The sequence below is a fragment of the Homo sapiens genome, chromosome 20 (assembly GCF_000001405.40).
Source record: "Homo sapiens chromosome 20, GRCh38.p14 Primary Assembly".
NCBI lineage: Eukaryota > Metazoa > Chordata > Mammalia > Primates > Hominidae > Homo > Homo sapiens.
Window position 1 is genome coordinate 35109887 of NC_000020.11, and position 13588 is coordinate 35123474.

At 44.8% G+C, this 13588-nt stretch overlaps 2 protein-coding genes and 1 non-coding gene across 5 annotated transcripts in view; all 3 read right to left on the bottom strand.

Moving 5' to 3' along the window:
* Positions 1-5477: 5477 nt before the first annotated feature.
* Positions 5478-13588, bottom strand: part of MMP24-AS1-EDEM2 (MMP24-AS1-EDEM2 readthrough) — a 162759-nt gene continuing 154648 nt past the window's right edge. The window contains exons 14-15 of the mRNA NM_001355008.2: positions 8712-8833; positions 5478-6047 (exon numbers count right to left, since the gene is read on the bottom strand). Of these exons, the coding sequence (NP_001341937.1) occupies positions 5547-6047; positions 8712-8833 (623 nt within the window). The 3' untranslated portion in view covers positions 5478-5546. The remainder of the gene's footprint in view (positions 6048-8711; positions 8834-13588) is intronic.
* The window catches only part of EDEM2 (ER degradation enhancing alpha-mannosidase like protein 2), a 31973-nt gene continuing 23862 nt past the window's right edge, over positions 5478-13588 (bottom strand). For all 3 annotated transcript variants that reach the window (NR_026728.2, NM_001145025.2, NM_018217.3), the window contains 2 exons: positions 8712-8833; positions 5478-6047 (listed from right to left, as the gene is read on the bottom strand). Coding sequence is in view for 2 of the 3 variants with exons in the window: in NM_001145025.2 (NP_001138497.1) it covers positions 5547-6047; positions 8712-8833 (623 nt within the window). In the remaining variant the exon portion in view is untranslated. The remainder of the gene's footprint in view (positions 6048-8711; positions 8834-13588) is intronic.
* On the bottom strand, positions 7250-7321 carry LOC124900460 (small nucleolar RNA SNORD56). The gene has a single exon (XR_007067763.1). It is a non-coding gene; the product is annotated as a small nucleolar RNA SNORD56 (small nucleolar RNA).

A 13588-nucleotide genomic window follows, 5' to 3' on the forward strand; every position in this document is an offset into this window, starting at 1 on the left:
CGTGCACAACGGGCAGGTTTGTTACATATGTATACGTGTGCCATGTTGGTTTGCTGCACCCATTAACTCATCATTTACATTAGGTATTTATCTTAATGCTATCCCTCCCCTATCCCCCCACCCCACCACAGGCCCCGGTGTGTGATGTTCCCCGCCCTGTGTCCAAGTGTTCTCATTGTTCAATTCCCACCTATGAGTGAGAACATGCAGTGTTTGGTTTTCTGTCCTTGCGATAATTTGCTCAGAATGATGGTTTCCAGCTTCATCCATGTCCCTACAAAGGACATGAACTCATCAAAAGGATATTCTTTTTATATACATATATATAGAGATAGGATCTCACTATGTTGCCCAGGCTGGTCTTGAACTCCTGGGCTCAAGCAATCCTCCCATCTCTGCCTCCCAGAGTGCTGGGATTACAGGTGTGAGTCACCATGCCCAGTCAGAAATGATACCTTTTGATTGAGAGATGTAGCCAGCCTGAAGCAAATCCTGCAAGAAGGGAGCCAGAGGGATAAACGCCCTTGAACTCACTCCACTCCCTTTCACCAGTCTCCTGTCTGGGCTCCCCACTGGATGAACCCAACTGGAAGCCAGGAAGAATGAGCCCATTAATTGTAGCTCATACCAGACCACGAGAACAGAGGATAATGAATTTCTTGGGGCAAAGAATAGGGTGAAAAAGGGTGAAAAGCACATCCACAGGGGGAAATGGAAGATATCCTACACACAAGATTATGCCACAGTAATAAGCAATTCCAGCGGACTCAAAGAAAGTAGAAGGAAGGAAATAAGATCAAAGCAGAAATTAGCACAACAGACAAACATACACTTGACAGCAACAAGTCAGTCCCAAGTTTGTTCTTCAAAAAAGAGAAATACAATAAGAAATATCTGGCAAGACTAATCAAGAAAAAGAGAAGGCATAGATAATTAATAATAAAAAACAGGCCAGGCATGATGGCTCACACCTGTAATCCCAGCACTTTTGGAGGCTAAGTCAGGAGGATCATTTGGATGCCAGGAGTTTGAGACCACTCTGGGCAACATGGCAAAACCCTGCCTCCACACAAAAAATTTTTTTAATTAGCCAGGTGTGATGGTGCATACCTGGAGTTCCAGCTACTTGGAAGGCTAAGGCAGGAGGATTGCTTGAGTGTGGGAGGTCAAGGCTGCGGTGAGTCGTGATCACACCACTGCACTCCAGCCTGGGCAACAGAGCGAGATCTTTTCTCAAAAAAAAAAGAACAAAACAGATAGGACAACTTCATGCCAATGAATTCATAGAAAAGTACAACTTTCTAAGTTAGGGAAGAGCAGGGTTTAGGAAAGGACTTTCTTTCGTCTCTCTGATCTGGCCTGGAATCCGGGGTGTTGACTAATGATCAAGGGTATCCCTGGGTGTGGGGATGAGCTGGCCTTGGCCACAAAGAAGCCTGAATAATGAAGTGGACTGTGGTTCTAAGAGTAGTCATAGCTAATAGTAGCTGTTAGCTAGTAGATGATGTAATTTCCTTCCATTATGCCTCAGTTTTCAGTCAAGACTTCTTCAAAGTTATAGCAGTTCTCGTCTAGGTTATGGGGAATTATGTGTAGGCCTGAGTCTCTATTTGAGGCAAAGTAATAGAAGAGAGGGCAGGAGGTATATCCCTGCCTATCAAGGTAGCCAGAGGTTTGCCATGGTACTGAAGAAAATGATCAGCAGCTGAATTAGCCAAGGTTCATGGGCAAAGATGAGGCTGGCAGATAAAGCCAGACAAATTCCTGGTTAAAAGTCACCTCCTGAGCTATTTAGAGAAACAGTTGATTCAGGGCTGGGATAGGAACGGGATCAGCTGAGCTTGGAACATCTTGTAATACCAGAAAGCAGGACACTATCAAAGACTATTGGGGTTGTGTTAACAGGACTCAGGGCTAACTTGAAGAGAGGCTTCCACTGGCCAGAAATGGGACAATTTGAGCTTTGATAAGAAAAATAATTTCAATGAACTGAAAACCATCAAATGAGTTTAAATCCAAGAGTTCACAATACTTGAAAAACAAAACTTCATTGTCACAATTGGAAGATGCTAGGAAAATGATGCATTATTCTGGAAAATAAAAAATAAAAGTTAAGAATCAAATATTTATCCTGGCTTTCCTGAATGAACTGTGCCCCAAGGAACCCAAATAGTTGACGAGAGGAAGTCTTTCTTTAGAGAAGTAGTCTAGCCTTGGCTGGGCATGGTGGCTCACACCTGTAATCCCAGCACTTTGGGAGGCCAAGGTAGGTGTATCACCTGAGGTCAGGAGGTCGAGACCAGCCTGACTAACATGGTGAAACCTTGTCTTTACTAAAAATACAAAATTAGCTGGGTGTGGTGGCGCATGCCTGTAATCCCAGCTACTTAGGAGGCTGAGGCAGGAGAATTGCTTGAACCCGGGAGGCAGAGGTTGCGGTGAGCCGAGATCAAGCCATTGCACTCCAGCCTGGGCAACAAGAGCAAAACTTCATCTCAAAAAAAAAAAAAAAAAAAAAAAAAAAGAGAAGTAGTCTAGACTAATTAAAATCTCACTATTTTGAAACCCCTGTTGAAATAATGGATCCAAGCAATGACCAACAAATGGCTGTTAGTAACAGGCAAGGAGACATCATGTGTCTCTTGACCAAAAGAAACAACAGTGCTTATTCTTGAAAAATAAAAACACCAGCCTAGACAACATAGCGAGACCCCATCTAAACAAAAAATTTAAAAATTAGCCAGGTGTGGTGGTGTGGGCCTGTAGTCCCAGCTATTCGGGAGGCTGAGGCGGGAGAATCACTTGTGCCCGTGAGGCTGCAGTGAACTGTGATCACCCCACTGGGTGACAGGGTGAGACGCTGTCTCAAAATACATAAATACACAAATAAAAATAAAAACAAAAGTAAAAATCCAAATCTGATGATGTCTCTAGATCTTAATATCAACTTTAAAAAACAGTTATATAATAAATACCTCAGAGATGCAATTAACAAAATCCATAATATGGAAACCTACAGGACATACAACTGTTGTCTTCAACAAACAAACTGCAATGAAAATAGAGGAGGAGTGGGAAAGGAGGGAGGGAGGGAGAGGGAAAGAATTCCTGTAAATTAAAAGACATTTCAGAGATATATCATCTAATTTCAAATATATAAATCAACCCTATGTGGGTCCTGATGCAAACAAACTATAATACAAAGTTATGAAACAAAACATTTTGAACATTGGAGAGGATATCAAGGAATAATGATTTATTTTTATAGGCATGCTTTGGGGATGCATTCTGAAATACTTTTAGGAATAAAATGTTTGGAATCCTAAATAATCTAGTGTGGATATAAATGAAATAAGGTTGGCCATGAATTCATCATCTTTGAAGCTAGTTTGTTGAAATTGGGTGATGAGCACACAAAGGATGGATGTCCTGTTCGCTCCATTTTTGTTTATTTAAAATTTTACTTAGCCAGGCATGGTGGCATGCACCTGTGGTCCCAGCTTCTTGGGACGCTGGGGTGGGATGACCGCTTGAGCCTGGGAGGTGGAGGCTTCAGTGAGCTCAGATCATGCCACTGCATTCCAGCCAGGGCATGAGTGAGATCCTGTCTCCAAATAAATAAGAAAATAAATAAAAATAAAATAAAATAAAATAAAATAAAAATAAAAAAATAAAAAATAAATAAAATAAAATAAATAAAAAATAAAATAAAAAAATAAATAATAAAAATAAAAAAATAAACAAAATAAAATAAAATAGTACATCCTGGCCAGGCACGGTGGCTCATGCCTCCTAGCACTTTGGGAGGCCAAGGCAGGCAGACTGCTTGAGCTCAGGAGTTTGAGACCACCCTGAGCAACGTGGCAAAATCCCATCTCAACAAAAAATACAAAATTAGGAAAATTAGCCAGGCATGGTGGCATGCTCCAGTTGTCCCAGCTACTCGGGAGGCTAAGGTGGGAAGATTGCTTGAGCCCAGAAGGTCAGGGATTGCAAGGCTTGCAGGGCTTGCAGTGAGCCGTGATTGCGCCACTGCACTCCAGGCTGGGCAACAGGGTGAGACCCTGTCTCAAAAAAAAAAAAAACAACTTTGTGGCCAGGGACAGTGGCTCATGCCTGTAATTCCAGTACTTTGGGAGGCTGAGATGGGAGGATTGCTTGAGCCCAGGAATTCGAGACCACCCTGGGCAACAAAGCAAGATCCCATCTCTAATGTTTATAAAAATGTAAAAAGAAAAAATTAAAGTTACAAGAAAATAAAATTTTAAAAAGCAATAAAATTTTACATAATTAAAAGCTCACGTCCTCAGGGAGGCTTTTTCCACCCACCCTATCTAAAGCAGCTTATCTTTCCCCATTATTTTCTAGCACAGCCCCGTGTTTTCTTCATGGAACTGATCACAATGTTACTTTATCTATTTACTAGGTTATTTCTTTCTGCTAGAAATTTAGTTTCACAAGAATAAAAACTGTTTGCCTTGTTTGCTGCTGAACCTCTGGGGCTGCGGCTGGCACACAAAGGTGCCTGCCCAGCCCCATGGCTCACGCCTGAAATCCCAGTTAATCAGGAGGCTGAGGCAGGGGATTGTTTGAGCCCAGGAGTTTGAGATCAGCCTGGGCAACATAGGGAGACACCGTCTCTGCAAAAAAATTTTTAAAAATCAGGCAAATTATAGTGGTGTGTGCCTGTGGTCCCAGCTACTCCAGAGGCTGAGATGGGAGGATCACTTGAGCCTGGGAGGTCGAGGCTGCAGTGAGTCGTGATCATGCCACTACATTCCAACCTGGGTGACAGAGGGAGACCCTGTCTCAAAAGAAAAAAGGTGCTTAATAAATCTTCGTTGCTTGGAAGGACAGGTGGATAGATAGGTCAACTAAAGAGTAAGAAGCAGCCGGGGCATGGTGGCTCACGCCCATAATCCCAGCACTTTGGGAGGCCGAGGCGGGTGGATCACCTGACGTCAGGAGTTCGAGACCAGCCTAGGCAACATGGTGAAACCTCATCTCTACTAAAAATACAAAAAATAAAAATAAAAATAAAAAAATTAGCCAGATGCGGTGTAGCCAGATGCACGCCTATAGTCCCAGTTACTCAGGAGGCTGAAGCTGGAGAATTGCTTGAACCTGGGAGGCAGAGGTTGTAGTGAGCCGAGATCACACCACTGCACTCCAGCCTGGGTGACTGAGTGAGACTCTGTCTCAAAAAAAAAAAAAAAAAAAAAAAAGTAAGAAGCACATGTTGGAGCAAGAACTAACAAAGAAATACATTTATGACAACACTTTCCACAAAGACACCAGAAAAGGAAGGGAGATTCAACTATCGACCCCTAGGATCTTTGGAGCCAGCTAACCGCATTTAGCCGTCTCTCCAGCTGCATGAGAAAATTAACTAGAGTCACAATTGCCCGTAGCCACCAATCCTTTCTTTGAATGAAATCTCATGAGACAGCCCAATATGTAAAACATGATAACCAAAATATGATAGCCAAAAGCAATTTATTATAGTTTAGCCTCAAAAAAATAAAAATAAAAAAATTATCCAGTGGTTATGAGGAGTCTAGGAAAACCTGTCCCAGTAATGCCAACTTGGAGGTGAAGGGCTGACTGGGGCAGCTGAGAAGTGGGACCTTCTGTTTGGCAGGCTTCCTCTCCCTTGCCTGGTCATGGTTTTCTGGTGAGAAGAGTGTTCCTGGCCTTGCTGGAGGTTCCCATGGCCCCGAACTAACAGTGTTTTTCTGAAATTTCGACCTGCTCCGTTTGAGAGAGTAGAATTCCCTCATCAAGTCCTCCACCTCCCACTGCTCTTCCTTCAGCCTCTGGCAGCAGTGCAGGGCGGCAGGGTCGATGGGGTGAGCTTCTGTGTTGAAGATGTACCCCCCAGCCCCCAGGATGCACTCCCCATAGGGGGTGATCACCGCGTCGAAGGTGGACCCATTGTTGTGGATGAAGTTGGTTGGGTCAAACAGGAGGTAGAGGTATTTCACAGTCTCGGCCAGGAAGAACGACTCCATGCGGTTGTCCAGCTTGTGGTCTCGCAGATCTTTGATCTGACATGTGGGAGAAGGAAGCAAGCTGGAACACCATCACAATTTAGTAGTAAGGGTCAGGCAATCCCTTAAGAAGGCCTGTTCTGCCACAAAGCAGCTGAGGGCCTGTGAGCAAATCACTGAACTTTTCAGAACTTCACTCTTTCCCAAGCCACCATCATCTCTCACCTGGATTATCACATAAGCTTCCAAATGGGCTCCCAGCTTCCAATCTTAGCCCTGCAGTTTATATACACACACTATTTTAAAAAATAGGGACAGGGTCTCACACCATGTTGCCCAGGCTGGTCTCAAATCCCTGGGCTCAAGCAATTCCTCCTACCTTGGCCTCCCAAAGTGCCAGGATAACAGGCGTGAGACACACACCAAGCTCCTACAGTATCTGTATAACATAAGTCTTCCTGTCAATTCTCTACTCACAACTTTCTGTGAGCCCTCCATTTCATGCAGGATAAAAATGCAAGTCATGACCTGGCCCCTGCTCCCTTCCTGCCCTCACCTCTTACCACTCTAAGAGCTCCAGCTGCTGCCTTTCTGTCCTGAGCTAGCACAGCACCCTCCTGCTTCGGGCTCTTTGCATCTGTGGTTCTTTCAGCCTGGAGCACTCCGCCTCCAGTTTTTCTCATAGCTTGTTCCCTCCCTTCCTTCAGGTCTCTGCTCAAATGCTTCCTCACCAGAAAGGTCTCCGCTAACCTTGCTCTATGACATGACAATCTCCTATCCCCTTTATCCCAACTTTTTGTGACTATAAACATAGAGCTAATCGTCCCTTTTAATGATGGCAGAGTATTCCATCGTGAAAATGGATCACCATTTACTTGGCTAATCCTCCTTGGAAGGGCATTCAGATGATTACCAAGTTTTTTTTTTTTTAGAGATGGAGTTTCACTCTGTTGCCCAGGCTGGAGTGCAATGGCATGGTCTCGGCTCACTGCAACCTCTGCCTCCCGGGTTCAAGCAATTCTCCTGCCTCAGCCTCCAGAGTAGCTGGGACTACAGGCACATGCCACCACACCCAGGTAATTTTTTTTGTATTTTTAGTAGAGACAGGGTTTCACCATGTTGGTCAGGCTGGTCTTGAACTCCTGACCTCGTGATCCGCCTGCCTTGGCCTCCCAAAGTGCCGGGATTACAAGCCTGAGCCACTGCGCTTGGCCAATTACCAAGTTTTTGTAAGCAACTAATAAGGGGTCTTTTTTTCTCCACTCAGACCCAAAGTATCGACACTTACTAGGTTCAACTGCTGTTGATGAAAACTATTGACATTGTTTTAGTAAGGAGTCTTATTTAGAGAATTTCAACTGAGTTTTCAGGCATGGATGACTAAGATTACTTGCTACAAACATTTATTTTAGCTTCTCAGAATTAGTAATACTTCTAAACAAAACATTCTCAGTGGACTCTATCTTACATTTAAAAATATGACTCAAATATGGTCTTGATGTATCAAGATGATTATTTCCTTGCCCTGTTTGAGAAAGGTCAGACCCCTGTTCCCATCATTCACCATGGAAGACCTCCAAAGGGCTTCATGTTCATGGAAATGAGCCCAGCATTCCTAGGAAGGCCCCAGTGGGCTTATCATTTTGGTTTTTCACACAATACAGCATATTAGAAACCAAATCATATCAGGGGTTTATTTTTTCCCTTCCACATGTAGGTCTTCTCTCTTCCCCTACACATATCTATATTTTACTTATAGAATATAATCACATTACAAACTTTTGCAAAATAAGTGTTTTGTTGTTGTTTTGAATTCCATACCCCAACACTGTAGGCTTTTCAGGGGATTTTCTTCCAGACTATTTTCTTCTACTTTCATATTTATATCTTGCCTGCTTGGTTCCTGCATGGATGTGAGATGGCTCTCACCTTTGACCCTTTCAATCTATTCTTCACAAAGCAGCCAAAGCGATCTTTCTAAAATACAAATCAGATCATGTCACTGCTCTGCTGTAAATCCTACCAAGGGTTCACATTCCAAGTAGAAAAAAAAACCCAAACTCTTTCCTGTGGCTTACACAAAACCCTACATGATCTAGCCCCTGCCTACCTCTGGGACCTTATCTCTTCCCACTTTTCTCCTTGCTTGCTCCGCTCCAGCCACACTGGCCTTCTGTCTACCAGATACACATTCATGGTTTTTTTCTCATTAAAATGTAAGCTCCATGAGAGCAAGGCCACTGCTGTAACCCTTGGGCCTAGCAGAGTGCCTGGCATGTGAAAGACATTCAAGAAATATCTGTGAGACTAAGCAGGACTGCTTTGTTAAGGAGTCCCAGGTTTGAATATAGGGCTATGGGACTCTGGATTCCCCTTAAAATCTATTTTAGTGTCTCACAAAACTTTTCGCTAAACTCACCTTTTCAAAGTCACCTATTCAAACAGATCAAAGATCTCCACTGTGGGAGGAATGCCAAGGGCCGGGGTCAAGATCCCAAGGAACTAATTCTAGCTCTACCTCTACTAGCTGTGAGATCTTTAGCAAGGCACTTAGCTTCTCTGTTCTTTGGTCTCCCCATCTGTAAAATATGAGCATTATGTATATCTCCAAGGTCCCTTCTAGTGCTGATATGTCAGAACTCCCAAAGCTCTACCCTTAAAGAGGCTTTTTAGCAGCAAGGGGAGACTCTTCCCAGTTCTTGGGGCCATGCAAACACTTACTGTTGCAAATCCGCACTCCACCTTGCTGATTTTTTCAATGGATTCCACAGCATCTCTTCCGAGTTCTAGGAGGGTGGGATCCCCCGTGGCACGGTAGAGGTACATTGCGCTTTCAATAAGTTCTGCAAAGTCCAAAGCAGACCCTCCTCACTCAGTGGCTGCACAGAGATGGCCTGGGGCCTCTTAGGGCCGTGAGGGACTACTCCCCTCCATATCTTGTCCATAAGGCCCCAACTAGCAGGAACACAGGATACCTCACCCAGTGCTGAGTTTCAGAGCCAGTATACCCAAAGCTTGAAGCTCAGTGGAGACCAGCATTAAGGCTGACCAGTGACTTCCACCACAAGGGAGAGAAAGGTGGCCAGGTTCTGGCATAGAGAAGGTGGCGGAGGTTGTTGCCTAATTCCCAATATCTGTTCCCCGCTTCCTCCTTAGTAGCAGGATTCCTAACTTTAGCTAAGCACAGGCTGCCTGGCTGCCAACACTAACTATTCTAACAGCTAGGTGGGATTAAGGACACCATGGCGAGCCATATAAGCCCAGAACATGAGAGAGAAATACATTTCTATCCTAATTAAGCTACTATTTTTTTTCCTGTCACTCAGAGTCTAACCTAATTCTAAAACTCAAAAGAAGAGTAAGAGCTTGGCATCATAAGGCTCGTTCTAAGATAGGATGGACCAAAAGAAAAGGCTGAGATATCCAAGAGCAGGCCAGGCATGGTGGGTGGCTCATGCCTGTAATCCCAGCACTTTGGGAGGCCAAGGTGAGAGGATCGTTTGAACCCAGGAGTTTGAGACCAGCCTGGGCAACATGGCGAGATCTTGTCTCTACAAAAATTAAAAATGATTAGCTGGGTGTGGCATGCACCTGTAGTCCTAGCTACTCAGGAGGCTGAGGTAGGAGGATCACTTGAGCCCAGGAGTTTGAGGCTGCAGTGAGCCATGATTAAGCCACTGCGGCACTCCAGCCTGGATGACAAGAGTGAGACCTTATCTCAAAAAATAAAAATTAAAAAAATAAAATAAAATAAACCACCAAACCGTCAATCTAACAAAGACGTAGTCATCAGTTCACTGTGGCCAGAAAAAGTGATGTTTTGTCTTGCCCAATTCTATGCCACAACTGGAACTTGATGTTAAGACATGAGCTCTACCTTAAGATGAATATTAGCCAACAGGAGTGGGTCCAGATGAGAATATTTATTCTAGAGATAAGGAAATCCAAAAAAAATGTGTTTATTGCTTTCAAATACCTGAAGAACTGTTGTAGAGTTGACTTCAAGGGTGGCCTCAGCTCAGTATGTTTTTCTACTTCATCCATCTTTTCTAAGAGACAGAAGAACCCCTGTCTCCTTTCTATACCATCATCTCCCCCTGACCTTCTCCTGTCCTGTTTCCTCCTGGGCTTGATCAGTGCTTCTGTCCCTTTTGGCTTATTGCTGCAAACTCTGGTTCTTATTTTATTCCGTTAATTACTTTTTTGTGACAGAGTCTCACTCTGTCACCCAGGCTGGAGTGCCATGGTGCGATCTCCGCTCACTGCAACTCTGCCTCCTGGGTTCAAGGGATTCTCATGCCTCAACCTCCCAAGTAGCTGGAATTACAGGCATGCGCCACCAGCCCTGACTAATTTTTGTATTTTTAGTGGAGACAGGGTTTCGCCATGTTGGCCAGGCTGGTCTCAAACTCCTGACCTCAAGTCATCCGCCAGTCTTGGCTTCCTGAAGTGTTGAGATAACAGGCGTGAGTCACTGCACCCAGCCTCTAGTTCTTATTTTAGAGAAAAGGTCTCTGCCTATCTCCCCAGTTCTCTCTTACTTCCTCCTCCCCTCTCCTCACAGGCCTCTAGACAATTGCTAATCTAATTGCTCATATTCTAAGGCACAGACTAGGGTACATTCATTACTAGATGAACACATTCTGTGTGTTCAAAGGCAGAAAAGACAGTGCCCTCATGGGAGGCCTCCTCTTCTGCTTCTTTTTTCGGCTTCTTCTTTTTTTTTTTTTTTTTTTTTTGAGAGGGAGTTTTGCTGTGTTACCCAGGCTAGAGTGCAATGGCATGATCTTGGCTCACTGCAACCTCTGCCTCCCAGGTTCAAGCAATTCTCCTGTCTCAGCCTCCTGAGTAGCTGGGACTACAGGCACATGCCACCGTGCCCGGCTAATTTTTGTATTTTTAGTAGAGACAGGGTTTCGCCATATTGGTCAGGCTGGTCTCGAACTCCTGACCTCAGTTGATCCACCGCCTTGGCCTCCCAAAGTGCTGGGATTACAGGCGTGAGCCACCACACCCAGCCCTCTTCTGCTTCTAGCAGCTGGTGGGCCAGTGCCCTCATGACCAGCCATCACGCTTCTCTCCTCACATGTGGGCCTCCTAAGCATGTTAGTTATTGCTTTACTTTCCTGTGCATCTGACCAACTCTGTCGAGCAGTGGTCCCCAACCGTTTTGGCACCAGGGACCAGTTTCATGGAAGACAATTTTTCCATGAACTGGGCTTGTAGGAGATGGTTTTGGGATAATTCATGTGCATTACATTTATTGTGCACTTTATTTATATTATTATTACATTGTAATATATAATGAAATAATTATACAATCCACCATAATGTAGAGTCAGTGGGAGCCCTGAGTTTGTTTTCCTGCAACTAGACAGCCCTATCTGGGGTTGATGGATGACAGTGACAGATCATCAGGCATCAGCTTCTCCTAAGGAGCACACAACCTAGATCCCTCACATATGCAGTTCACAATAGGGTTTGTGCTCCTATGAACGTCTAATGCCACCACGGATAAGACAAGAGGCGGAGCTCAGGCAGCAATGTGAGCGATGAGGAGCAGCTATAAATATAGATGAAGCTTTGCTTGCTCACACGCAGCTCACCTCCTGCTGTGTGGCCTGGTTTCTAACAGGCCATGGACTTGTACCGGTCCACGGCCTGGGGGTTGGGGAATCCCTGCTCTAGAGGAAGGAGACAGCCCAAAGTTCAGATTTGGACTTAGAGGAAGGTAAAAGCCTGCAGAGGCCTTTAGGCTAGGCTCTGTGCTCCAACACTGCTGATCAGAGAGACATATACGAAAGTACAGGGCTCTGGCCAATTTAGTGAAAGAGTAGTCCTTATCTCCTATTTGCCATTGTTTTGGGGTAGGAGGGATGACTGGATTAACGCACTCCTGGATTCCTGACAGCGGTGCCTTATGTTTTTTTTTTTTGGAGACAGGGTCTCACTCCATTGCCCAGGCTGGATTGCAGTGGCGCCATCATGGCTCACTGCAGCTACGACCACCTGGGCTCAAGTGATCCTCCCAGGTAGCTGGGATGGGACTACAGGCATGCAACACCACTCTTGGCTAATTTATTTATATTTCTTATAGAGACAAGGTCTTGCTATGTTGCCCAGGCTGATCTTGAACCCCTGGGCTTAAATGATCCTCCTGCCTCAGGCTTCCAGAGTGCTGGGATTACAGGCATAAGCCACTGCATCTGGCCAGTAGTGTCTTACTTTCCATGAATGCCTTCCTGCCAGCCTGTCCCAAATGGAACAGGTTGCCTCTGTTAAGTAGCAAGCTCCTTGTCACTCGTGGTAACTAAGCAAAAACTAGATAACCACTTGACAGGGCCATATTAGGAAAATTCCAATTAGAACACCTCTCAGGTTCCCTCTAACCCTAAGATTGTGCAAGCCTATGTCTTACATTTAGTTCCAAACCCTAATCTTTACCTGTTGGTAACACCAGATACGATACCTTCTCAGAGCTTCTTATTTTTAAAATTTACTTATTTATTTTTTTGAGATGGAGTTTTGCTCTTTTTTGCCCAGGCTGGAGTGCAATGGCGTGATCTCAGCTCACTGCAACTTCTACCTCCCGGGTTCAAGCGATTCTACTGTCTCAGCCTCCCCAGTAGCTGAGATTACAGGTGCACGCCACCATGCCCAGCTAATTTTGTATTTTTAGTAGAGATGGGGTTTCACCATGTTGGCCAGGCTGGTCTCAAACTCCTGACTTCAGGTGATCCACCTGCCTTGGCCTCCCAAAGTGCTGGGATTACAGGCGTGAGCCACCATGCCCAACCAAGTTTCCTGTTTTAAAAACATGCCATGAGAACAAATGCATGAGAAACATCAATAACAGTGGCCTCTAAGGAGTCAAAAGTTGATGAATTTGCTCTTTATTCCCTCTCCTGGTCCCCTCTACACCTCCTACGATAATCACTTGAGTTAGAAGAGGAAGGAAATGGGGTAGAGGAAGGCAGGATAACCAGAAGGCCTGTCCCATGGCTAAAAGGCAATTCAGGTGGGAAAGTGGGAAGTGTCTAAGACAATGGGCTCATAGCCTGTTTTGGGGTGGGGGATGACTATGTGTGCTGACTAAGCTTCCTTCCTTTGTCCCTCTTTTTCTTTCCCTCCTCACAATTTTCAGCTTCCCTGAAGTGAATCAAATGACATTAGGGCTAGAAAGGAACCTATGAGAGTGTCTCAAATATAGTCCTTTGCTTGATTCTGAGCTGCAAATGGGGAGGTGGAAGAGACTAGGTAATTCCTAAGGTCCGCCCCAAAGTTCTAACATTCCATACACGTAAGCATAATTTATCTGACCCATGGACTTAGGAAGCTTGCCTACACTTCTGAAATCCTGATGGCAGGAGCTCAAAAGGAGTCAACCTTGGCCTTTTCCTTCTCACTCATTTCCTGATTTGAAAGAGCATATGGGGCCAGTCGCAGTGGCTCACATCTGTAATCCCAGCACTTTGGGAGGCCAAGGTGGGCGGATCACCTGAGGCTGGGAGTTCAAGACCAGCCTGACCAACATGGAGAAACTCCATCTCTACTAAAAATACAAAATTAGCTGGGCATGGTGGCTCATGCCTGTAATC